The 25,908-nt window shown below is 46.1% G+C and overlaps 2 protein-coding genes across 5 annotated transcripts in view, besides 7 other annotated features; one reads left to right on the top strand and one right to left on the bottom strand.

Moving 5' to 3' along the window:
• Positions 3,810 to 3,859: a silencer, noted in NCBI's record as "silent region_17749". NCBI's record gives its function as "represses an Ori minimal core promoter by ATAC-STARR-seq in GM12878 lymphoblastoid cells {active_cell/tissue: GM12878}" and the evidence as "EXISTENCE:reporter gene assay evidence [ECO:0000049][PMID:35858748]".
• Positions 3,810 to 6,871: a biological region, named in NCBI's record as "VISTA enhancer hs2576".
• Positions 3,816 to 6,871: an enhancer, noted in NCBI's record as "VISTA enhancer hs2576". NCBI's record gives its function as "enhancer in: eye[4/6]" and the evidence as "EXISTENCE:transgenic organism evidence [ECO:0001131][PMID:17130149]".
• Positions 4,250 to 4,329: an enhancer, noted in NCBI's record as "active region_25387". NCBI's record gives its function as "activates an Ori minimal core promoter by ATAC-STARR-seq in GM12878 lymphoblastoid cells {active_cell/tissue: GM12878}" and the evidence as "EXISTENCE:reporter gene assay evidence [ECO:0000049][PMID:35858748]".
• Positions 10,122 to 25,908, top strand: part of LOC112267968 (uncharacterized) — a 59,629-nt gene continuing 43,842 nt past the window's right edge. Inside the window, exon 1 of the mRNA XM_047419645.1 lies at positions 10,122 to 10,378. Within this exon, the coding sequence (XP_047275601.1) occupies positions 10,310 to 10,378 (69 nt within the window). The 5' untranslated portion in view covers positions 10,122 to 10,309. The remainder of the gene's footprint in view (positions 10,379 to 25,908) is intronic.
• Positions 14,330 to 14,537: a silencer, noted in NCBI's record as "fragment chr6:159538123-159538330 (GRCh37/hg19 assembly coordinates)". NCBI's record gives its function as "represses an EF-1alpha promoter that drives an FKBP-Casp9 reporter gene in an ReSE screen in K562 erythroleukemia cells {active_cell/tissue: K562}" and the evidence as "EXISTENCE:reporter gene assay evidence [ECO:0000049][PMID:32094911]".
• Positions 14,959 to 15,028: an enhancer, noted in NCBI's record as "active region_25386". NCBI's record gives its function as "activates an Ori minimal core promoter by ATAC-STARR-seq in GM12878 lymphoblastoid cells {active_cell/tissue: GM12878}" and the evidence as "EXISTENCE:reporter gene assay evidence [ECO:0000049][PMID:35858748]".
• LOC124901449 (uncharacterized) lies at positions 15,369 to 24,616 on the bottom strand. 4 transcript variants are annotated; one of them, XR_007059837.1, is made up of 5 exons: positions 23,980 to 24,616; positions 23,475 to 23,879; positions 21,403 to 22,313; positions 16,120 to 16,196; positions 15,369 to 15,854 (listed from the first exon to the last, which is right to left on the bottom strand). XR_007059837.1 is itself a non-coding variant. In XM_047419647.1 (5 exons), exons 2-5 carry the CDS (start codon positions 23,476 to 23,478, stop codon positions 15,746 to 15,748), a joined length of 315 nt encoding a protein of 104 aa, XP_047275603.1. In that variant the 5' UTR covers positions 23,479 to 23,879; positions 23,980 to 24,616; the 3' UTR covers positions 15,369 to 15,745. The 4 variants fall into 4 exon arrangements, 2 of the variants coding, with proteins under 2 accessions (XP_047275603.1, XP_047275602.1); XM_047419647.1 differs by having other exon boundaries at positions 22,189 to 22,313; XM_047419646.1 differs by lacking the exon at positions 23,475 to 23,879 and having other exon boundaries at positions 22,189 to 22,313.
• Positions 23,779 to 23,848: a silencer, noted in NCBI's record as "silent region_17748". NCBI's record gives its function as "represses an Ori minimal core promoter by ATAC-STARR-seq in GM12878 lymphoblastoid cells {active_cell/tissue: GM12878}" and the evidence as "EXISTENCE:reporter gene assay evidence [ECO:0000049][PMID:35858748]".

Here is a 25,908-nt window from a genome sequence, read left to right as displayed (position 1 = left end):
GGCCATGACAAACTGCCACGGACTGGGGGGCTTGAGCAGCAACAACAAAAAAATCATCTTCTTTCCATTTTGGAAGCTGGAAATCCAAAATCAAGGTGTGGCAGGGTTGCTGTCTTCCGATGACCCCTTTCCTTGCCTTGCAGACAGCCCTCCTCTGCCCGCGTCTTCCCTCCATACATGTCTGTGTCCTACTCCCTTCTTACAAGGACTCCCATCATCGTGGATTAGGGCCCACCCTAATCACCTCATACTGACTTCATCACCTATTTAAAGACCCTGTCTGCAAGTACAACCACATTCTGAGGTACTGGGGGCGAGGACTTCAATATATAATTTGCAGGGGGGTTGGGGACACAATTGAGCCCATGGCAGATGGCAACCTTGGTAGGCCTCTCTCCCTACTAAGCACGTGCCTCCCTTGGGGAGAGCAAGAAGCTACTGGTGAGGATGAAGGAATTCACGCCGCAATTGGGAAGGACCAGACAGCAGCATCTGACCTGTGAACCTCAGACCCCAGCAAGGCACAGAGCTATGGCAAGGAATTCCGGATGTGCTGTCCAGTTACAGAAAGAACAATCCACAAGAATCCTCAGCTGTCACGGAGGCTTGGCTGTTCCCAGACAAGGAGGTGGCTCCTCCCCAGTGCTGCAGGGCAGATGCCCCCAGGCTTATGGAGGGCGGACGGGCTGCAGGGAAGCGAGTGTCCTCGGGACTCCTGAGATGAGCGGGGTCTGCTCAGCAGCTGCATCAGAAGCACTCGGGACCTGTGGAAACACAGACTGCTGGGCCACCCCTTCTCTAGGATTCCCGGGTCTGGGGCGAGGCCTGCCAGGGTGCGTTCTTCACCAGGTCCCAGGTGGTGCTGACCTGGGAGTCCATAGGCCACATCTGGAGAAGCCCTGGCTTGTGGGAAGTCCCACGCCCTGTTCTAGCATCATTTTCTCATTCTCAGTCCATCTTTCACCTGGTTGAGGTACATCTTCAGGAAAGATTTTCAGGGCAGCCCCACCTCACAGCCCAGCGTGCAGCCTCTGCTCCCAGCCTCCGCTTTGGAGGGTGATGCTTGGCCTCTCTCTGGCTTCACTTCTTCCCACCAGCTGAGGAATCCGAAAGGCCAGAGAGGTGTGCCCACCACAGACCATGTGCCCCTCTGGTCCCCTCCTGACACCCAGGGCCCCGGAATTCCTGGCCACAGAGGCCCTAAGTCTGCTCTCAGGGTCCACATGGGCCTCCTGCCAGGTGTGTCTCTGGCGACTAATCAGGGCCGGACCTCCCACAGTGGAAGGGGCAGTTTCCTCAGAGACACACGCAGTGGCTTGGGAATGGAAGAACACCGGAACGGCATTGCTATTCTGTTAAGAAAGCGCTGATGGTGGGGCAGGGGCAGGTGAGGCACCGAGCCAGGCTGGGCACTGCTGTCAGGCGGCAGTAAGAGCAGGACCCAGCTCCACGCGATGCCACCTTGAGATGGCGCCACAGGTGACTGGCGTCCCCTTGTCCTGGAGCAGAGCTTCCACCAGGGCCTTCAAGTAATCATGAAAAATGAGAGGATATATTTTACTTAAGAGTGTATTACCTTGAAGTGTGATTTATCAACACCACTTAAGTACAGGTATGTAGATTACTATTTGTTCTCTTGCCCCAGGACCCAAAATGAATAGAATGAGCCACTAAGAGAATATTTCTGGACCCTTTGGTATTTGAAAAAGTCTTTCTAATGTCTTTACTCATGAAAGCACCATGGCTGGATATATAGCTCTTCACACAGAGCCTGAAAGCTCCTTAGACAAGCATTTCCCAAAATCACGCAGTGGGATCCAGGTCCCATAAATGCTCCAAGATAAAAGAGTTCGACAACCTTTTCTGGCAGGGGGAAAGGCAGTGTAGCTACGATTTGGTAAATAAAGCACTGTAACCGGAGTAAGACCCACCATCTGCCTTCCTCCAGAGGCCACACATACCTTACCATGAATCCAGAGGGAAATGGGTCTGTCCACGGTGTGTCCAGGAAAGCAGGAAGAAGGAAGGGAAAGCTGTATGCCAGATTCAAAGAGTCTATCTCTTTATTCATGTTGCAAGATTTTCTTTCATTTTAAAACTACCTTGTTCAATTGATATGTAATAACTCAATGGCCAGTTGTAATTCTGGATGTTTCCTGAAACAAGAAGCCATCAGGCTGTGTTGGCACAGAGGGGCGACCTTGCAGGGACTCGCCACCCACCCTGACTTCACCGTAACTTTTGATAGGATGACCCCCGTATGTGCCCAGCAGTCACCGAGGGCGTCCAGTGGACGTGGTCGGACGATTGTGAGCTCAGGCTGCCAGGCCAAGCGCACAGGCCGGGTAGAGACGGTTTAACGTGGTCCACAGCCACCACTTTGCAGCTCGAGGCCTCCCCCTCGTGTAGCCTGTTTGTAGTTTTCTACGACTGTTTCGTACAGCACGGGCTCCATGCGTCCCAACACCGCAGGAGCACACCCGCCACTGAGACGCGCGTGCGGGGCCAGTGCAGCGGTGTCCCGGGTCTCCTCGCACTCAGCTCCCTGCCGGTTCCGGCCACCGAGCACTCTTGTCGGGGAGGCCTCTGATGGGCCTGGGGAGGGCAGGGGGCTCATCCCCTGAGGGAGTGGCCTCTGCGTCACTGTGCCCTGCCTTTTGGCTTGGACTTCAGTCCTCCCTCAGGAGTAAAGAGCTCTTCATTACCAAAGGGGCTGTTGGTTCCGTGACCAGCACCGACAAGAGACAGCGGAACAGCCGAGCTGATGTCCCATCGCTCTGGGAATTCCTGACGCTTTTACTGTGAAGATGAAGCAACCGTAATAGCACGAAGATCGTGGGTCTGTGTGTCTGTGAAGAGAGTCCACCTGCTAGGAGCCGATGAACAATGAATGCCCTGCCCTGCTTGTGTTGCGCGTCGCCAGGCCCGCAGCTCACGTCCCAGAGGATTCCTTGATGTGAATTGGTTGTGCCACAGCAGCAGTTCTGGAAGGAAACTAGGAAGCTAGACTGTACTTTTTGTTTAACCACCATTCACCAAACCGATTTGGAATCTTCTTTTTGGTGCTAGCTGGGGAAGAATGCACACGTGCGGTCTGTTGTGATACGTTTGTGATGGTGCCTAGTGTGGCTCCCAAGAGCACTGCAAGCTCTCAGAAATGCTCTCCCAGGCCTTCAGAGGAGGGAGAGGTTCCTGGGGAAGGCAGGGAAGCCTGTTTCTGTCCTCACACCAGAGAAAGAAACCTAGGAGACAACTGAGACGTGAAATTCCCAGTTTAAGTCCGTTTTTCTTTATGAGGAGGGTCATTTGGAATGATAGCCTCGCTTCCTTCCGGTGGCTGCAGCTATGATATCTTTTCCTCCTGTTTTCTAATGTGTCACTGAGACAGGAAATAAAGCAGAAAGGGACTTGTGAAGCTCTGTCTCTCAGACGGGACCCTCCCCGCAGGAGGTTCACAGGGAGTGAATGAGAACGAGAACATCCCACAACGGTCCTGGTCAGGACGGTCTCCACATCCATGATCCCGTGGTTCCTGGTCCCCTGGTTCCAGGGATGTTTCTGGACTGCCTGTGCTTCCCGGGAGCCAGCTGAGAGAGCAGGGTGTGCTCTCGGATGCTGGTGGGTATGGTCAGTGGGCACAAGCGGACCCTTCCCAGGCGGCAGGTGCCAGGCAGGTGCAGGTGGGTGGTCGGCCGCTGCTGCAGCTCACCCCATGGGTCCCAGGCCGGAAGGGGCTCCCTCAGACCCGGTGCCTTCCTGCAGCTCAGAAGAAAAAGGGTCAGGTAGGCCCCAGAGGGAGCCAGCCGCACCGCTCCACACACCTGTCTCAGCCACAGCCGTGAAACTAAAGATGTATTTTTATTTAGTGACAGCTTTTTGTTAACACGGATGTTTAGAGATTATGGAGAATAAATTGTGGGGAAAATTTTTTTTCACTCTTCTACCATTTGTTGTGGAGAGAAATAGGTAAGTGCAGGGAGTTTGTGATAAAACAGCACCCGGCGGTTCTTCAGAAGTGAATCTGATGGCCGGGCGCAGTGGCTCATGCCTGTAATCCAAACACTTTGGGAGGCCAAGGCAGGCAGATCACCTAAGGTCAGGAATTCAAGACCAGCCTGACCAACATGGCGAAACCCTGTCTCTACTAAAAATAAAAAAATTACCCGGGCATGGTGGCGGGCGCCTGTAATCCCAGCTACTCAGGAGGCTGAGGCAGGAGAATTGCTTGAGCCCAGGAGGTGGAGGTTGCAGTGAGCCGAGATCGCGCCACTGCACTCCAGCCTGGGTGACAGAGCGAGACTCCATCTAAAAAAAAAAAAAAAGAAGAAGTGAATCTGATGTTTGCACTCCACTTTTGAACCATTCACTCTCACTGCTGTCACCAGAAAGACCTGGTGTCGCTGATGCAGGTTCTGGTGGCTGGTTAAGTTTCGATCATCGCCTGGCTTCCTGAGGTCTCGCTGCCTTCTTAGGAAAGGTGACTGGCTTCTGTGTGGGAAGCTATTGTTTAACATGCAATGATGCCATCCTGGCTGCCACTGTGCACTGTCCCATGTATTGAATTTTGACTTTTTCTTTTTAAGTTTCTGTGCTTATCTCTTCTTAGTGTTTACTTTTACCAGTTACAATAATATTACCAAAATAATACACATATAGCTTTGGCAAAAAAAAAAAACAGAAAATGTGAGCAGAATAAGACAGTTCCTTGGGACACAGTTTGGACCCTGACCAAATGCTTTTCTCTAGGCAGAAAGGCTGTCTGCCCGTGAGACAGACACTCAGGAGTGGCCGTTCAGTTGGAAAAGAAGGTCATGCTGCCTGGCCAGGCCCCAGCTCTGCAAGGACACAGGAGTCACACTGCTTGCATCATCCGAGCCTTGCTCCAGAAGGCCTGGCCGCTCTCTTCCCAGGGGTGATTCAGGGACTTAGTCTTGGACCAGACCCCCCTCCACACCTGCCCAGCTCCAGACCCATCTCTTGAATTGAGGGCATCTGCGCTGGACCCAGTGGGTCACTCTGGCAGCTTCATCTGAGCCAAAGATGTGGGTGCCTCCATGGCTGTGTGATTTACCTGTAAGGAAAGCAGTGTTTTACTCAGAGGAGAAGCAAAATCATTTTCCCTGGTCTCAGTGCTACATTATCACTCAGCAATTTGAGGAAATCCTCCGGTTTTCCTATACGAGGAAGCACGCTGCATTGAAGAAAAAAAAAGAGTTGGTTAAACTGAGACCCCAGTATCTGTGAATATGCTCATGGTGCTGCTGCCTGGAACACAGATGCCAAGCAGGGAGACTCATGGCTGTCTGAGCAGCAGCTGACTGTCCATCTCGTGCTAGGCAGAGCCCCTGGACAAGTGGACATAAGACCGGTATTGATTGGCCAGGGCCACGGGGGCTGGGTGTCTTCCAGTCTGCCTGGGACAGCGAAAGCAGCTGTACAGACAGCAACAGTGGGAGGGCTTGCTGGGATGGATGGGGACAGCAGACAGCTTGTCTCCTGTTCAATATCCCCACTGCACTTGGCCTCCTGACATGTCATCAGGAGCCCTGGCAGGGGCTGCTCTGAGCAATAATGTTGGCCCAGAGCAGCTTCCCACATGACCACAGAACCAGCGGTCTGCCCTGTCCTAGGTTAGGTCATCATGGTTTAGAATAAAACAATGAGGCACATTTATTATGGGCATTGAAGGCTTAAGGTTTTCCTTAATTTCCTAATTTTTAGTCAACAGTGATTAGCCTTCATTATGTGTGCCAAGTGGGATTTTAAGGCAGGGGAAATGTAAGATAACTATTGCCATTCAGAGGAGAGTTTTACTGATGTTTCTTTCTTCCTATGTATTTTATGGTATTCATTTTAACCACATTTCATCCAAAAAGTTGATGCAGCTTTAAGATGAATGTTACATTTTACTTTCAAGGAATTATTACTTGTGTTCTCTTTGTAAAGGAAAAATAATATTGTACTTTTATTAAATAATGTACAGATGTTCTCTGTATTTTTGAATCATGATATGGATTATGGATATATTGCTTAACAAATTTTTTTTGGAGCAAAATAAAAAGAGGAGACATTTGTGCTCTGGAATGTTCTTCCCTGTTCAGCAATAGTTTCCCTCCTAGTACTAATTTTTGGTGGTGCTATTAATTTTCATAATTTTCTGCGTCACCATGAGTATTTCCATGGCACCGAGGGAAAACCACATCAGGCTGACTGTCAGATGCCACTTTCCTGCCATTCACCTAAACAGTCCTTCATTTAAATGCCTGCAATAGCAGCACGAATAGAAAAATCATTAAAGAAGAAATACATACATCTGGTTAACAAACATTTGTATAATGTTCGATCTTACAATAATGTTTATAGAAGCAAGTTATAAGGTAAAAAATTTTCCCCTATCAAATTAATAAAGATTTTTAAATATGAGCACCCCCTCTGCTGGCGAGCACAGGGCAAGTGGGCACACTTAAACAACACTAGATGGGGAATGAATAGGTGCAATCCTTTTGTAGTGGTAACATGCATAAATAGGTTTCAAATCATCAGAAGCTTTAGTACAGAAATACACTTCTAGTAATTTGTTCTAAGCTAATAATCCTAAATATTATAAAAGTACCTACAAACATATTTATTATAGCATTGTTTATGATTGTTAAAAATATGAAACCATCTAATTCCTTAAAATTATGTGGGCAGATTAAATTACAGTGCATCCATAACATTAAAAAATACATAATAACAAAACCATAAAAAACTTGTGATGAATATGGAAATGTGTATGCTATTTTATCTTAACTGAAAAAAACCAGGAAACAAAATTGTGTCTTTAAAAGAATCACAACTATGTAAAAATGCATTGAAAAGGATCAGACAAGAAATATACCAAAATATGACCAGCATTTATCTATCTGCCTCTATTTTTCTACATTTTTCAAATATTCTCTACTAATCATAGTTAATTTTTATAATGTAAATATAAAACATTCTATTTAAATATAAATAAATTATGTAGCAAATTATACTTTTGATAATATAGATAAGTATCTGTTTACTTTTTATAATAATGTCTACTCAAAGTGATAATACCGAAGATTAATTTTAGAGTCAAAAATAGAAATAAGACAACAGATAAGAATACCCCTTCAGGAAACATGGAACAGAAGAAACATCTTCAAAAACATAATTTTAAAGTAATTGTGAGTGTCCTGCATCCTGGGGAGTGGGCTGAGGAGAGGAGATTTCCTTGCCATTATTACCAAACTCTGCATGTTTGTAAAAAATGATTAACCGCCCTCTGAGTAAATGCTATCTGTAGGTTATGCCATTTTCTGTTTAAATGCATAAAGAAAGGTTTTTATTTTGTCTTCTAGAAGTTCTTTAGCAGAAAATTAATTATATGAACTACATACATTAAAAAGTTTTTAGTCAAATATTGTAGAAATCAGCCTGATATGGTTTGGCTGTGTCCACCCCCCAGATCTCATCTTGAACTGTAGCTCCCACAATTCCCACATGTTGTGTGAGGGAGCCGGTGGGAGGTAACTGAATCATGGAGAGGGTCTTTCCTGTGTTATTCTCATGATAGTGAATAAGTCTCATGAGATCCGATGGTTTTATAAAGGGAGTTTCCCTGCACAAGCTCTTTTCTCTTGCCTGCTGCCATGTGAGACATGTCTTTCACTTTCCACCATGATTGTGAAGTCTCCCCAGCCATGTGGAACTGTGAGTCCATTAAACCTCTTTCTTTCATAAATTGCCCAGTCTTGAGTATGTCTTTATCAGCAGCATGAAAACAGACTAATACACATCCCTAACTGCTTCCTGTACAATGGATTGATTTTAGGATTTGACAAGAAGATTCTGGAAAGAGTCACAAGACCCAAATTAGAAAACACCTGGACACCCAGGAGGCGGCACTGCCAAGAGAGCCCCTCCATCCCCTCCTGCTCTGCTCCTTCTTCTTGCAAGCTGCTCTCCCCTCCCCAAGAACACATGGGGGGCAAATGGTCCCCTGAAGGATCCCCAACTTTTCCTCTCACAATCCTAACACTTAAGAGATGGTTTCGTCTCTTCATTCCACTTGCAAAATTCGCAGAAAACAGCTGTATCCTAATTTGGGTCTGGTGGTTATTCCTGAACCAAGGACTTACTATGGCCAGGAGCAGCATGGAGACATCCCTGGCCCAGGAAGAGCCACTCATCCACCTCTAAACCAAGCAAATATGGCCAGGGGCAGCACCACGTCCTAACACAACTTCCCCACAACAATGAGGATGGCCCTGAGAAAGCAGTGGAGATGCTGTAACAGAGCAGACCACTTACACAGGCCATCCCACTAGAGGCTGTCTTTATGTCAGATTACTTTACCTTTCAATTAATAAACGTGTAAATACCTCAGTGCAGAAAAATCTGAAATAGAGGCAATTTAACTTGCAGAACTGAGAATCTGTGCCAAACTAACTTCAGTTTCTCTTTTCCTGCACCGAAATCATTCTTCTCCTTCCACATTATTTAAAGAGAGAGGCCGGGCGTGGTGGCTCATGTCTGTAATCCCAGAACTTTGGGAGGCCAAGACAGGCAGATTACCTGAGATCAGGAGTCTGAGAGCAGCCTGGCCAACATGGCAAAACCCCATCTCTACTAAAAATACAAAAATTGGCCAGGCATGGTGGCACACACCTGTAATACGAGCTACTCGGGAGGCTGAGGCAGGAGAATCATTTGAACCTGGGAGGCAGATGTTGCAGTGAGCCAAGATCATGCCACTGCACTCCAGCCTGGGCGATAGAGCAAGCCTCTGTCTCAAAAAAAATAATAATAATAAAGAAGGTTAAAGATAAAGGTATGATTTCCTTAACATGCAGTCTTAAGAAGGGAGCTTCAGTTTTGAATTTTTAACAGATGCTTCTGTATTTGGAAACCACTATTATGAGCTTCAGTCTGTACAAAGGTCAATAGAGAAAGTCATTCTACTCCCACTAGATGTCTGTTGCGTATGTGTGGCACCCAGACAAACTAAATGCGTCTATTAATAGAATATGCACCTTGGTATGGAATGCCAACTGTATTCCAAGGCCAAGGATGAATGCAGTAGCAAAGACTATATTTTAATGTGCTGGCAAACTATAAGAGCTCAAACAGGCTGGGCACGGTGGCTCACACCTGTAATCCCAGCACTTTGGGAGGCCGAGGTGGGTGGATCACCAGAGGTCAGGAGTTCAAGACCAGCCTGACCAACATGGTGAAACCCCATCTCTACTGAAAAAAAGAAAAATACAAAATTAGCCTGGCATGGAAGCGCATGCCTGTAATCCCAGCTACTTGGGAGACTGAGCCAGGAGAATCACCTGAACCCCGGAGGTGGAGGTTGCAGTGAGCCAAGATCACACTATTGCACGCCAGCCTGGGCAACAAGAGCAAAACTCCATAAAAAAAACAAATAAATAAATAAATAAAGTTCAAACAAAATCTGGCTACTTCGACACCTTGAAGAAATTACTGATTTTGAGTCTTCATTTATTTAGGAAATGAGCAGTATGGACCAGATTAATTTTCAAGTTGCAACTAAGTCAAATTCTGAGGGCTCTTCTCAAAGACTAACACTGTTACTGATAGAAAATTCTTAAAGAATACATATTTTCTCTTGATTACCTGTTAGAATGGATTCAGTCCAATATCTGATCTCCAGTAAGGAAAACCTTGAAAATGTCAATGCACTTTCAGTTCCCAGGAGAAGGCAAGTCATTTATTTGAGCTTCTCTTCTCTCTTAACAGGTTTCTCCCAGCAGGGGTGAGGAGCAGAGCACTCTGCCTTCCAGAAAGGGGCTTGCAGCACAACCACCTGTGCAGGCTATAAAAAGCCATCACTCGCGGAGCCACTGCGCTCCATGTGGGGGAAGAGAGCCCAGCTTTCCAATCACTTCTCCATATTGTGCCCCTGGGTAAGCGTCCAACATGTGACCAAAGCCTCGGCAAAGAGAGGTGGGTGCTTGGCTGAACTGTTTTGCTCAAGGATAACCCTACAAGTCACATTTGCTGAAAATAGACCCTTGTGGCATGAATTTCCTAAGAACTTGGCAGATCAGTCCAAGTTTAGGATGAGAGAGAAGAAAAGAGAACTTGCTACTTTCTAGTTAGTTGGCAGAGAGAGAGCACACCAATGAGTGAGCACAGGCACATGTGTCTTCTGCTTGGAATAGCCCTTCTCAGGGCACCTCTGTCTGGAATGGCCCACGTGTGTTCTGCCTGCTCCGGTCCACTGTGATCCTGAGACTCTAAGCTCAGCTCCTGGCCCTCTTGGAGTGGCACCACCATGCCTGGTCCCCAGCCTCCCAGAGCACCCAAGGGGGAAAGCTGTGGTGTCCCTGCTACAAAGCACAGGGTAAGTAGGGAGATTTCAGCCTGAAGTAGGTTGAGCCCTCACATGTTAAGGGAGATAGAGTACAGCAAACCTCCATCCCAAAGGGGACAAAAATAGTCTCCAACTTAAAGACCGTTATTCAAAAAAAGTATATTGATTGATCCAATTTTAATTTATATAGAGGTCTAGAAGAATATGTTTATATGAATATCTGGAAAGAGCTGCATTGAAATGCTGACAGTGATTAGCTTTGATGTAGAAATTTTGTAGATTTTTTTCTTTTTATCTATATTTTTCTAAAATCAACATACAGTTCTTTTAAGTTCTTAAAGAAATATTTCTTTAGAAATCTCAAACTGAAGCAATAGCAGGAGGAAGGGACATTTGTTGAGCCTGGGAGTTGGGATCTTGTGTTCTAAGCAAGAATTTAAACCTTTCCTCCATGTTTGTGTCCTCCACTTCTCTGGCTTGGCGTCACATCTCCTAAGTGCTGGCAGTAAATCATACGGGATAGTGTCATAAAGGGTTCTCAAAGTGATTTTATAGTTTCATTAGAAAGAAACATTGGGATAGAAGAAAAATAACAAGTCTTCATATTTTCAGGAACATAAGGATCCAAATTTAGTTTAGGATCAAGAACAATTACAAGTCAGTATACAAGAGTAACGGCCCAGACAATACTTGTTGATGTTAAATGAATTATAATTTGTTAATTCATTTACAAATGACAGTAAATTGAAATCGTCAGTATTTGTTGATGTTAAATGAATTCAACATTTGTCAAATGAAATGAAACTTTAATTTGTTTAAGGGATGGACTTCTTTCTTTATAAGATCCCCGCAGTGTTTTCTGTGAAACCCTCCATCTTGGAGCAAAGGAGAAGGAGGAAGGATGAGAGGGTTACATTTAAACCACACAGCCAAACTTAAAGGGGCAGCAACAACCTCTGGTGCATGCCCAAATTCAGAGCAGAAATTGTTGCAGAAAACCAAATTGCTCTTCAAGACTTAAGAAGGGGAAGGGTCTGTGTAACCAGTAGGAATAGCAAAAGCCTACCACTCACTTTAAACAGGCCCACTGAGAAGCTCCTGTCTCATGTCCTGCACTCTTGGAAACAGAAGTTTCATAAGTTGCTTTTTCTTTTTAATTACATTTAGCAACTTCCCTGTCATTCTGATACGCATTCATGCCACAAGCACTGGTCAGATGTGTGCTGCGTGTGGGACACAGAGCTGCCCTTACGAAAGAGCTCACGGCCAGTGGAGAAACCAATGTGGAATCGAAGCCAGTGCAGTGTGGTCAGCACTAACATGGAGGGCAAAGTGGCCAGGAGAGGACCGAGAAGGAGGCCTCCCCGCTGAGGAAACAGGGGAGTTTCTAGAAGAGATGACACTGGGCTGGGTCTTCTAGGCAGGGAAGAGTGTTGCAAGCCAGGGGAATATCCTGACCCAGACCTGGGGTCACAAAACAAAGGGGGTTCCAGGACAAAAGGCCTGTGCTCCCCTGTGAACTGCTGGGAACCTATGGCATGGGTGATGACAAGCCACTCCCCCACAGGAAGGTGACATGATTGGATTTGTGCTTTAAAATGAAAACCTGCCTGCCATTGAGAGGGTGGGATGGAGGAAGTAGAGAGCTTGCTGTTTTACAGTAAGCCACACAGGAGAGATGAGGGCCTGGGTGGTAGCCAAGAGAACTGGGAGCTTGTGAGATACTTCGGAAGAAGAAATCAACAAGGCTTGCTCTCAGATGAGACACAGTAGGTGAGAGAAATGGGTCACTTTACATGAACAAGGTTTTTTTGAAAAAAGTAGATAAATTGATTAGTGACTAAGAACTAACTGCTTTGCAAAAAAAAAATTTGCAAAAAAAAATCATTTGTTAGAGTTCACCATTTTTAATCTTATAAAAGCAAGAGTAGTGATACGATTTGGCTGTGTCCCCACCCAAATCTCATCTTGGACTATAGCTCCCATAATCCCCACATGTTATGGGAGGGACCTGCCAGGAGGTAAATTAATTACAGGGGCCGTTGCCTCCATGCTGTTCTCCTGATAGTGAGTGAGTTCTCACAAGATCTGAGGGTTTTATTCTGGGCTTTTCCCCCGCTTCACCCTGCACTTCTCCTTGCCACCACCATGTGAAGAAGGGTGTGTTTCCTTCCCCTTCCACCATGATTGTAAGTTTCCTAAGGCCTGCCCAGCCCCTGTGGAACTGTGATTCAATTAAAGCTCTTTCCTTTATAATTACCCAGTCTTGGGAAGTTCTTTATAGCAGCATGAGAACAGATAAATACAAGTTGTATGTGGCCTGTGATATTGGGGTATTCAGTTCAGACAGGCTTCTTTGAAGAATCTTCTAAAATTTCAGGCAGAAGAAAAAGCAACCTAAATTTTTGCTATTCCTTCAGTTTCTTTAAACAATTTCAAAGCTAAGGACAATGACCTAAAATTGCTACAGTATAAGATTTTGGAAGAGAAGATACAGCTAAAGGACATATGGGGGCTGGTCTAGTTTGCAGTTAGGGAGTTCATTTAACCTTCAGCCTTGGCCTCACGGTCTGTCCCAAGGTGGGCATCCTCCTTCCTCTTTCACTGCTAGATATCAAGGGAGAGATTCTTGCCCTGTCTTGCAGTATCTTTGTCATTTTAAATGTTTATATCTGGCTTTTCCCTTCATAGTTAAGTTTCTTATCATGCACTGCCTATAATGCTTATAACAAAGAGGCCACAGCGTCCACAAGGAGAGCCACTGGAGGGCCACTAGGGAGCATGGGTTTTCCCATGGCCTCTTCAGCACCTGATGGGCTTGGGGAGGGGATGAGAAGAAGCACAGAGAGGAATAGAATTGGGCAAGGGCCATGAGCACTAAGAATGCTCCTGTACCCAGTCCCACCCTGCTCTCTGCTAACGCCCAAACTCAGAATTACCCCATAATGAGTTCTTTTCTTTTTAATCCTGATGAATTAAAAATAAGGGTTATTCCAGGGATCTAGAAGCAGGCAGAGACTCCTGGAGAAGGAGGAAATAATCTTCTTTTCCAAGGGTGGCTCGGAGATGTTTTTGGTCATTTATCATTTTGGTAAAGATTAGGGATGGGATTGTTCTAGACTCCTCTATGAGGTCTGTCTCCCCCCAGAGAGACACAGGCAACCCTGAGACGGAAACTTGGTGTCTCCCCCTAGCTGGTCCCAGGCACAGCAATTTGAAAGATTAGGATTAGTGCTTTGCTCCCTTGGGAAGCCAAAGAGACTACGGGAGAAAGAGTTTCATGGGCTGGTGGTTGTCCAAGACCAGGTCTGTTGCCAAAGGATGGAATGATCTTGGCATGGCATCAACAGGGACAGTCCCTGAGCAGGAGTCAGTTTCCTCTTGGTAGCCAGGGCCCCTCCTCGTTATTGCTAATCATTGTGGGTCACATCATGACCTGCCCCTTGCTCTTGCTAACTCATTGAGGCCACCATCCCCACACCAAGTCAGGGCCACATGCAGTGCTTGATTCTGTTTCCTGCTTGGCCACGAGGGCACCATCTCATGAGGGACTGATATCAGCAATGCTTTTCCACTGATGCGTAGCCACCCAGACTCAATGCAGGAACTGGCTAGCTCGTGGCATTAAGTATGTAGTGATTTGCGTAACAGAGAGGCAGTCACTGGTGACACCCTGACTTAGCAAACCCATCTTCACTTCTGATGGTTTGGGGCACAAGGTCAACCCAGCGACCCCCCGATTCCATGAATCAGTGAAGATTTCCCACATATTTAGAAAATCATTGTCCTGTTGTAGCATGACTTATTGATACATATCATATCTGCCGGAATATGACTGTAATATAACTTAAAGGCCTGAAATATCAATAAAGAGGGTTCCTTGGGTGGTTGCCCGAAATCCAGTTGTTGCTGATTGAAATAGAATCAGCCTGTGGTGCTTCAGAAAGATTGTTCCGGAATGAGAAAGATCCCCCAGGCTGTGACTTCATGAAATGAAGCAATATTTTGCCAGAGGCTTTCTCACTGGAGACACAGGCTGATTTCAGAGCAAGGCCATGCTCCATGGGGAACTGTTGCCAAATGACAGCTCAGGAATGTCTCTGCTCATCTCTCACTGCCAAGTTTCCAGAGGTACAGAGCCCTGGCGTTCCTTCTTGAGTTGACTCCAATTGTCAAGGCACTGGCAAGCCATGGGAGGTGCTCCTCAGCCCTCCACACACACAGCAACCATCCCGCAGAACTGGGTGAAATACCTTCCCTGAGCACCTCAGAAAAGTCTCGGGTCCCTGACTTACTGAGCTGGAGGTTGAAGTCACCTGCTCTCCCAACTCCTCTGAAGGAAACCGACTTGCATTTCCTAGATTTGGAATTATCTACTCACATCTGAGGTTCAACCTGGGTTCTCAGGCCAAAATTCTCACTTCATAGAAACGGCTAACCAAGCCTGAGAACTGCAGCCTTGCCCTCAGAATCACTCGTTCCTGCATCCTCAACCCATGGAACTGTTTTTCTTAAAATGCATTTAAAATTATAAAAGTGTTGTTCCTTTGGAAACTTTATTTCCATTGGGGCACAGAATTATGATATAATTTAAAGTAGAACGTATTTCTTTTGTTAGTTGTAAGAAATTTACTCAAAAGCAGTCTCTGCCTAACAGACAAATATGGGGAACATGAAACTGAAACAGTAGAGTTCCCCAATTCCCCTTGGCAGGACGCGCAACAGGGGTGTGGCTCGCCTACAGCTCAAAACCCTGGGGGGAGCATGCAGATGGGCAGGTGCAGAGGCCAGGGAAAGCCCTTTTGGGCTCTGGCCCCACGGCAGCATCTAGGAATGGGTGTCTGTGACTCCCCAAGCCCAAGTGGGTGTGTATTATAAAGCTCTTTCAGATTTGCCATCTGGGCTTGTGTCTTAATCAGCTCAATGGACCCTCTGCCTTATCGCAAGGGCAGGGGACCACTGAGACAACCTTCTATATTCTGAGCTCTTGCTGAGCGTCCTGAAAGAATCAAATCACATATGGGCTCAAAGGATGAATGAAAGGTTTTATTGAGTGGTAGAGGTGGCTCTCAGGGAGATGGATGGGGAGCCAGAACAGGGGATGGAGTGGGAAGGTGGTCTTCCCCTAGAGTCGGGCCGCCCAGCAGCCAGACTTTTCTAACTGCCCGCGGCCGAATTCCCCTTGGCATTCAGACATCCCTCCTCTTCTCTCTTTCTCTGCTGCGTTGTTCCACCGTTAACTGGTCTGCTGGTCCGCTGGTCCACTGGTCTGCTAATCCCAACATTTGGCTGATTGTGTGTGTGCCCGCTAAGGTCTCGGGTTTATATAGGGGCAAGATGTTGGGTGTGGCAGGCCAAAAGGCAAATTTTTGGGCACAAAATCAGAAATGGCTGTCCTCATTTAGGGTCGTGGGTCTTCAGGCTTGAGGTTGGGGCCTTTGTCGGGAACCGCCCTCTTCTACCCAGTATTTTCCTGTCTCCTGTCCGTAGCAAAATGAGAGGCAATCTGAAAGAAAACAGAGAATGAATTTATTCCTTCCATGAGCTTTTTAAAAAGATGAACCGACCACTCAGAGTCTTCATTAAATGTCTTACAATTGTTAATAATATCAAGTACACAGCCCTCATGAAGTGGCCAGAAGCAATCTCAGCACTCCACCTAGAGTAACTTGTGTAATACTCTATCAACCAGACCAATTGGGTAATAAGAACTATTATTACTGATATTTTACAGACAGGAAACTGAGGCACAGACAGGTTAAGTAACTCACCCATGAGCATGGCTGGTCCATGGCAGAGCTGGATGCGAACTTCTCAAGACAGAGGACACACTATGCTGTCCTGATCCCTAAAAGGGATAAATAACAAAAGAAGAGTCTATGATGAATTACTTTGTGACTTAGCAGAGGAAAAGCAGACAGCTCAAAACAGCCAAACAATGCCCCCTGGGGATGACCCCGTGGAACCCGTTGAGGTAAGGGCCACCTGACCATTCCACCTCTATGCCCAGATCCCAGAGCCCAGGCCACTGGCCTAGGTAGAGACAACAGGATTCCCACATTAGCCAAGCTAATGGCTCCCGCTGGCTCCTTCCTCAGAGCTGGTTTCCAGCAGCTCATCCTCCTTCCCAAGCATCTTTCTCTCGGTGGTTGGGAGAAACAGAACCTCTCCGAACCAATTCACTCTAAGGTGCAAACGACTAATAGCTTTGGGAAGACATTTGCCTATTCAATGAGGCATTTCTCAACTCAAAGGCTCTCTAATGGGTAGAAATACAGACAATGTGGCAGAGAGTAGAGAATTCAATGCCATGCAAGAGATACAGGTTTTTGGTTTTGTCTTTTGTTTTACTTTTACTTTTTTTCCTTCAGATAAAATTCACATATCAAAACATTGTGCAACCATCGCTGCTATCTAATTCCAGACCGTTTTTCTCACCCCAGAAAGAAACCCTATACCTATTAGCAGTCTGTCTGCACTGCCCCCATGCTCGAGCCCTTGGCAACCACTAGTCTGCCTTCTGTCTTCACAGATTTGCCTATTCTATTTATATTTCACATAAATGAAATCATATCACATGTGCCTTTTGTGTCCAGCTTTCTTCAGTTAGCATAATGGTTCAAGGTTCATCTATGTTGTGGCATGAATCAGTATTTCATCCCTTTTTACAACAGAATAACATTCCAATGTGTGGATAAACCACATTTTGCTTATCCACTCATTAGTTGATAGACATTTGTATTATTTCCACTTTGGCTATTATGAATAAGGCTGTCGTGAATATTCATGCACAAGAGTCTTTATGTGGACATATGTTCTTTTTTTTTTTTCTTTTTCTTTTTTTTGAGACAGAGTCTTGCTCTGTTGCCAGGCTGGAGTGCGGTGGCATGATCTCGGCTTACTGCAACCTCCACCTCCCGGGTAAAAGCAATTCTGCTGCCTCAGCTTCCTGAGTGGCTGGGACTACAGGCATGTGCCACCACACCCAGCTAATTTTTGTATTTTTAGTAGAGACGGGGTTTCACCATGCTGGCCACATGGTCTCGATCTCTTGACCTCATGATCCGCCCACCTCAGCCTCCCAAAGTGCTGGGATTACAGGCATGAGCCATCACGCCTGGCCAGACATACGTTCTTTATTATCTTGGGGTATACCAAGGGTAACTGCTGCTGGGTCATATGGTAATAGGAATAGTATCTAAATACAGGAAGTTTAGAAGAATCCAGTAAATCATAGGACCTAGGCGACTGCCTACTTGCGCTGTGTGACCTCAGGCAATCCAAGTAACCTCTCTGAATCTCAGGTTGGCTTTTTGCTTAGTGTTGTTGTTTTGTATGTTGAATGTCAATTAAAACGTTTGCCTTTCAGTGTCCTTGTGAAGATTAAAATGATGTAAGTAAAGGCATTTCTAAACTAGGCAGTGGGAGGCTCTTGAGCTCCTGTCATCAGAGACGCTGTCAGATGGGCCCCTATGGCAGGGTGGCCACTCGTGCAGGTGGGCCAGGGACACCACCCTGCAGCAAGAGCTCTGCCTGGTGATTCCTTCTCTTTCCCAGCTAGTGGCCCTGCTGGTAAATAATCTTGTGAGAGGCTTTAGCTGCAATCATGACTTAATGAGTTCATTCATGAGGTGACTGGGAAAAGAAATTATTCACATGGAAATTTCCAGTGCGGTTCAAAGCCAGAGTGGGTAATATTCTAGCTGCACACACTGTATGCACACGCACACTGCATGCACGCACACTGCATGCACACACACTGCACACTACACCTGCTGTATACACGGTGAGCACACACACACCGCATACACACTGCTCACACGCCACACACAGGTTCTCAGGTGAGGCCAGGTCAGGCCACGCTCCCTGGGAAGCTGGCCCAGGCTGACACAGGCAGGGAGCCTCTGTGCTCTGTGATTCACCCAGGACTTCACTCCCTTCAAAGAGCCTCCTCCTTTTCTGGACAGTCTCTGTCTACGTCCTTTGAAAAAGGCCTGACCTGTGTCCTGTGTCCTCAGGCCCTGCTTCCGTGGATCCTCTACGGTTAGAGCTGAGCATCTGGTCTGGGCATTAACCCACAGGACAGGCACACAGAGCAACCTGGGAGTGAATTCCAGCTCTCCGCTTGTTAGCTGTGTGGCCTCGAGTAAGTCAATTGGCCTCTCTGGGCTTCAGTGTCCTCCTGTGTCACACAGGGATGATGAGAGTCCCTGCCTTGAAGGGTTATGGCCAAGATAAAATGAGATCTGCCATAGAGCATGTCAAGAGCCGTGCCCAGCCCAGAGCAAGTGACTAAGAGGTTCCAGCTGGTATTATCATTATTATCAATTGTCTGTGCCTCCTCTCTTCCCGCAAAGCAACTACAGCCACGGGCCGCATAATGACGTTTCAGTGGACAATGGGCCACATATACAACAGTGGCCCCATGAGATTATGACGGAGCTGAAAAATTCCTGCTCCCTACTCCGGCCTTCATGATCATGACCCCGTGATGGCCTAGGACAATGTGCATGTTTGTGTCTTCGTTTTTAAATGAAAATGTTTAAAAAGTAAAACTAAATTTTAAAACATTTAAATATATAGAATAAAGATATAAAGAATAATTTTGTGCAGGAGTACCCCGTGCTTGTGTTTCAAGCTAAGTGTTATTACAAAAGAGTCAAAAAGTGAAAAAAAATTAAGTTTGTAAAGTAATAAAAGTTACAGTAAACTAAGGTTAATTTACTATTGAAAAAACTTATAGATTTAGTGTAGCCTAAGTGTGCAGTGTTTATAAAGTCTATAGTAGTCTATAGTAGGGTGCAGTCGTGTACAGTAGTCTACAGTAGTGTACAGGAGTCTATAGGATTGTACAGTAGTGTAGTGTGCGGAAGTCTACAGCAGTATACAGTAGTGTACAGTAGTGTGCAGTAGTCTACAGTAGTGTATAGTAGTGTACAGTAGTGTACAGTGTACAGTAGTGTGCAGTAGTCTACAGTACTATATGGTAGTGTATAGCAGTGTGCAGTAGTCTACAGTAGTGTGCAGTAGTCTACAGTAGCGTATAGTAGTGTGCAATAGCCTACGGTAGTGTACTGTAGTGTACAGTAGTGTATAGTAGTGTGCAGTAGCCTACAGTAGTGTGCAGTAGTCTACAGTAGTGTACAGTAGTGTATAGTAGTGTGCAGTAGCCTATGGTAGTGTACGGTAGTGTGCAGTAGTGTGCAGTAGTCTATAGTAGCGTACAGTAGTGTGCAGTAGCCTACGGTAGTGTACGGTAGTGTGCAGTAGTCTACAGTAGCATACAGTAGTGTATAGTAGTGTGCAGTAGCCTACAGTAGTGTATGGTAGTGTGCAGTAGTGTGCAGTAGTCTATAGTAGTGTACGGTAGTGTACAGTAGTGTGCAGTAGCCTACAGTAGTGCACGGTAGTGTGCAGTAGTCTACAGTAGTGTATGGTAGTGTACAGTAGTGTGCAGTAGTGCCCTAGGCCTTCCCAGTCACTCCCTGCTCACTCACTGGCTCACTCAGAGCCACTTCCAGACCTGCAAGCTCCATGTTAAGTGTCCTATGCAGGTGAACCATTTTTAATCTTTTCTACTGTATTTTGACTGTACCTTGTCCATATAGGTACAAATACAATTGCATTACAATTGCCCACAGTATTCGGTACAGTCACATGTTGTACAGGTTTGTAGCCTAGGAGCAATGGGTCTACCATATAGCCTAGGTGTGAAGTGGTCTGGCCCATCTAGATTTGTGCAAGTATACTCTGTGGTGTCTGCACAATGACAAAAGTCACCTAAAGACACATTTCTCAGAATGTATCCCTGTTTTTGAGTGATTCATGGCTGTATATACAATTTAGTTGGGGCCTTCTTCATATCCAAGCCCTTGTCTCACCTGGTGTTTAATGTTGAAATACCAGCCCTGGTGGCAGGGAGTGGAAGGAGGTTTGCAGACAGGTAAGCTGTTCAGACTGGGCAGGCACTGGCAGGTGTATGGATGTTCTATTTACTGCACTCTTTGAGAGTCTTTGCAAATGTTACCTGACATGTAAGTACACTGCCTTTCCCTAAAGCTGGTCCTGCTCACAATTTTGTTTGCACCAACAAATGTATCTATTGTTTTCTGGACCCTCCTTCCTGATCCAAAACTTTCACTATATGTAATATAATTTTAAATCCCTAACTCCTTAGAGGTCTGGCCCATCCTTAGGTTTAGTCTTCCCTAATTGCCCTCACTTAAGCTGCAAGCAGCCTCAATCCTCAATTGGCCTCCCAAGCACCACTCTGCTTTCCTGCCTCACTGCCTCTGCCAGCACTACACCCTCCACCAAAACACACCTTCCCTTGCCCCTCCCAACCATCTCCACCATCAGCCCAGCTCAAAAGTCACCCTTCCAGGAAGTCCTCTAAGATCTGCACTATGGCCTCTGCCTTATGTTTCCATAGCATTAATAGCATTCTTCTAGAACATTCTCTCTTGTAGTATGATTATTTCTATACATGTCTTATCACTGACACCACACTGTGAGTTAATTTAACTTTGTTATTTGTAACAGTCTCTTTCATTTTTATAGTATCCTGCCAGGAACTTACAGATAGTAAGTATTTAAATTTTGTTGAGTCAAATGATGTGCACCCTTCAAAATGATTGAGTTTTAACATTAACTCTTTAAATCACCAGGATCACCATGTTACAATTTATATCAGTAAGAACTCCTAGAACTCTAGAATCTAGACAGGCAGTCGAATGCTAAAAGTCAGTGCTGTGACAGCAGGCACACTCTGCCTTTCCCTAAAGCTGGTCCTTCTCACAATTTTGTTTGCAACAACAAACATGTGTATTGCCTTCCCTGATCCTGGGAATCTTAGGCACATTTTTAGCCTCTCCGTGTTTCAGTTTCCTCATGGATTAAAAAAGGACAACAACAGTACTGACCTCATAGGATTGCTATGAGGAGAAAATGAGTTAGCCTTTGTAAGTCTGTAGGAAAGTGCCTAGCATGTAGGAAACACCCAGTAAATATTAGCTGGAATTCCACCTCAACACCAGCTCCCCACAGGCTCTTACCCTGCAGAGGTCTGGAAAACGGCCAATTAGATGCTGTAGTTACCAGCTCTCACCAGTAGGAGACACACAATCGCCACAGCTGTGATCATTTCCCTTCAAGATGGAGCCCAGGGATGGAGAATTCAGTTTGGGAATGGAGGCAAAGGTGCTTTTATAAATATCAAGAAAATCTTGGGATCTGAAGATCACACATGGCCCTCTGCAAGAGGTTGCACGGCGAGGACATTTGGCAAGTTCCACTGTACCTCTTTCTCTACCCAGCACCTGCTTAGAAAGGGCAAAGGTTGTGGCAGTAGCAGGGAGGTGTGGGATGGCCCCCAAGAAGGGTGGACACAGAGACCCGGGAAGGAGGAACTGGATCTGTAGCCAGCAATGCATATATTTAATTTTATTCCATGATTTCTTCCAGGATTAGCTAACTCTATCCACCCATCCTGGCTTATGTGGTCACCTCCTGAACATGGGGTCCAGTCCACATGAAATCACCCTCCTATCAGCTTGTTCCTCCATTCCTTCTTCCAGCCAGATTGTTACTCTATGCCCTGGGACCTGAGCATGCCTGGCCCATTCCCAAGCCTGCCCTGGGCTTCCTGGTATTTCTACTTCCAGCTCATACCTCACTTCCTCCAAGAAGCTTTCCCTGACCTCTCTAGTCCAGCAAGTTCCTCCTCCACCGAGCCTCTCCCACTGGCCTTTCCACAGTTAGGCACTTTCTCCAATGCTGCCTGTTGGGTCACTTGCCTTTTCATGTAGCACCATGAGGACAGGGACACTCCTTGTCTGTACCTTTTCATGTAGCACCATGAGGACAGGGACACTCCTTGTCTGTACCTCCTCAGGAGTCTGCAAAGGGTTCTGCATGGAATCTGGGCGATGTTGACTGCAGAAAGACTGGACAAGTGCCAGGTAATCTGTAGGTGTGCAAGAATGAATGGAAAAATTTTAAATATCCACTATAGACAGAGGGAAAAAAAAATCCTATTTGAAATGTTACCTTGCCCCTAGGTTTGAATTTAAGAGGTATTTTCTCCAATTTGATCATCAAAATATGACAAGTGAATGCTGTTGCTATGAAGTCTTATGAAGATCTTGCATGTTATCCAGGCCTCGGGTTCCCTCTTCTCTCTCTAACAAAATATAGTTTAAAATTTTCACTTGTGGGCTGGGCGCAGTGGCTGACACTGGTAATCCTAGCACTTAGGGAGGCCAAGGTGGGCAGATCGCTTGAGCCTAGGAGTTCAAAATCAGCCTGGGAAACATGGCAAAACTCCATTTATTTAAAAAAAAAAAAATTAGCCTGGCATGTTAGCGTGTGCCTGTACTCCCAACTACTCCAGAGGCAGAGACAGGAGGATCGCTTGAGCCAGGGAGGTCGAGGCTGCAGTGAGCCTTGATTGCGCCACTGCACTCCAGCCTAGGAGACAGAAGGAGACCCTGTCTCAAAATAAGAAAATCACTTGTAATTTTGCTTATTTAGTATTTGGTGAATGAACTCATTAGAAGTCACATTATCAGCCACCGACTCCGGTCAGCCGTGGGCTGGGAGAGAAAGGGAGAGCAGAGCAGATGCAGCTCCCGCCCTCCTGGAACATGACATCATCTAATTTGTTCATTCAACAGAAACTTCGCACACACTTACAAAGCACCCCGCTCTGTTCTAGGTGGGCTCTGGGGATAGAAAACTGAGTAAGAGAATGTGGTCCCTGTCCTTAGGCACACATTATCCATTGGAGAAAACAGCTGAACCAGGCACAAGTCACTAAGTTCCCAGTTTCTCAGAGGGTTTGATGAAGGTGTTAGATATACAGAATCACTCTAATACTATGTCTGAAAAAAAAAATACTTCCCATTAAAGAGCAAGGTTGTAGGAACATTTTGAGGGCAGGAAAGGAAGAGCAACTCTTCACTCTACGCTCAAAAAAATCTCCCGCCTGGTCTCTGATAGCTTCATTTCTTTTCACGAGAAAATAAAGCATTACATTTCATAAAAGACAAGGCTTAGAAAGCTGACTTCAACTACTGTCATATTCCCAAGGGGAGCAAGGAAACGCAGGGGAAAACACAAGGCATACCCATTTTACAGATAAGGAGACTGAGGCTCTGTGGGGAAGGTTTAGCCGGTTGGCTGGGCTTGCGGGTGAGTTAGAGGAGGTGGCACTGCTCCAGCCCACATCCCTGGTTCTCAGGCATCCCTCTCTCCCGGGCTCCTCCATTAAACTCTGCGTGCCAGCCCAGGGCACCAATCATGGGCAGAGTGGGCTCTCCGCTGCCTCGTGGGGTCCCAGCAGAATTAACTTTCATGAAGCAAGTTAGAGAAAAGTTAAGAAGAGCAGCCTCAATGCAGGTTGCTAAAGCCCAGCCCCACTGAGCAGGTGCACGGAGCCAGCCTGCTGTTCTGCAAGCACAACCCGCTAGATGCCAAACCAGTGTGTTGCAGGTGGTCTGAGCCAGGAAGTAGATCTGAAGCTTCAGGGTAGCTGTGTGAGTGAAAAAAAAAAAAAAAAAAAAAAGAACGTGATTCCTATCTGACCGATGACTCAGAAGTATGAACTGGGGGGCCTTTCCTTCCTGACCCACCTGACAGGGCCATGGCCGACACAGCCGTGTGTACACCAGTGAGCCTGTCACATCGCGGGTCTGCTGTGACATTCTGTCGAGCCCGAGGCAGAATCCAGTGTGAGCAGATTTCTCACGCTCCAGGCTTCCCTCACAAAGCTGCGTTTCCCTCAGCTACTTCTTTACCTATTTGGAAAGAATAGCAGGAAAAGGAAAGATGGATCTTGGTGAATCTTCCAAAAATCCTGTACTGGATTCCAGAGCTGGACTACTCAAAGGTGTGAAATTGGATCTCCTCCTCTTTAAAAACTCTTTTCCTGGGGTCTTCATACTCCCCACTTCTTCCTCTCCCATAAAAACCTGGTTTTAGGAAGGGAAGACATCAAATCATTCACCTGGAGGAGTACATGAATAAGAGCACCTTACCATGTACTTGCCTTTTAACAGAGATCAAGAAACATTTTGCAAAGGAATGAGTGTTACCAGATAGGAAGTCGTGACTGTGAGTTGTCCAGGTTCTTGGCGTGTTGGACAAAGGATTTAATAAAATGCACAAAGCAACAAAGGAAGGAAGCAACGAAAGTGCAGGTTTATTGAAGTGAAAGTACACTCTATAGAGTGAGAGTTGGCTCGATCAACGAAGCAGCTCAAGAGCCCCATTTAGAATGTTCTTTGGGGTTTTTGTTAAGCTGAAATAATTTGGTAACACCCCTAGATTCCCTTTAGAGGCCTCCAATTGGTTACCCGCTATGATGGATGGGCCCCCAACCAATCAGAGGCTGAAGTGGAAACTTCCGTTTTGTTATCACAGGAGTGAGGTTGTGGCCTGTATGCTGCCTAATCTTGCCTAGAACTGGCTGCACCTGCTGTTCCTTTGCTTATGCCTTAACCCTTGGTTACCCTAATTCCCTATTCTCCTGCCTTATAAGGGTGGTGCTAGGCATTAGCTAGGACACAGATGGGGCATCTTAGACAGAAGAGGCTCATTCTTCACTCAAAAAGCCACACCTGGTTGTCTTTTTTTTTTTTCTCTAGTTCAATCATCCAGCTTTGTCCTGGACCTGGTCTGGGCGCACCGTGCTGGAGAGAGACCTGGCCCAGCCCACCAGCACGGCTTCTTCAGAGGACCTTTCTGGTCTACCTGATTCACCACAGCTTGATCATTTGCAGCCTGATTTTGCAGTTCATCTCTTTGTATTCATATGTATTCTGACTCCTCATTTACCCTATAAGATCATCTGAGGGGTAAAACCTGACCATCTTCCTTGTTCTTTCCTATCCTGGAAGGTCCATGTGATTTTTGACAATGAATATGATTTCTGTTTGTCTTTGGAATGAGTTTTTGCATTTGATTATCAGGGGGTTCGATGTTTAGGGATTTCTACTCTCAGTGAAATCTAATGCCACACCTGGCAGGAATTGGGTCCTTTTAACATGAGACTAAAATCCAATGAGCCCAGGCCAGGAAGACCTGATTCACAGGGGCCAGGGAGGGTGCTCACTTCTCCACTTCTGCACGAAGCCACCTCCAGTCTGGAAAGAAGCAACTCTTCCATTATCTGTTGGAGATTCCTTATTGCTTATAAAGTAGGAGTAAACAGAGTGTGTGAGATGTTGACCAAGCACGATGGGATGGAACAGATGCCCTCTCATTAATGCAGAGCATATGGCAGAGTTCTGTAGCCATTCTCAATAAAATGGAAAACAAGGTACTTTAAAATAAACACAGCTGGACACAGTCGAGAAAACAATGGTGATCTTTATTTTGCAGAAATGAAGTCAAAGTGTTGCTTACTGGTTGTCAAATAGCCACACATGAAAGGGGCTGGAAACACAGCCAATGTTCAGAGTTAGAGTCACTGCATTGGAGACCCAGAAATCAAGAGTCCTGATCACACCAAGCAGGCTAAGAGAGGGCTGGGGAGGGAGATTTCCACCCTGTCCTTTTCG

This window comes from Homo sapiens, chromosome 6, assembly GCF_000001405.40.
Source record: "Homo sapiens chromosome 6, GRCh38.p14 Primary Assembly".
NCBI classification, from domain to species: Eukaryota; Metazoa; Chordata; class Mammalia; order Primates; family Hominidae; genus Homo; species Homo sapiens.
Note: the sequence above shows the minus strand (reverse complement) of the source record. Positions and strands in the feature narration are given on the sequence as shown.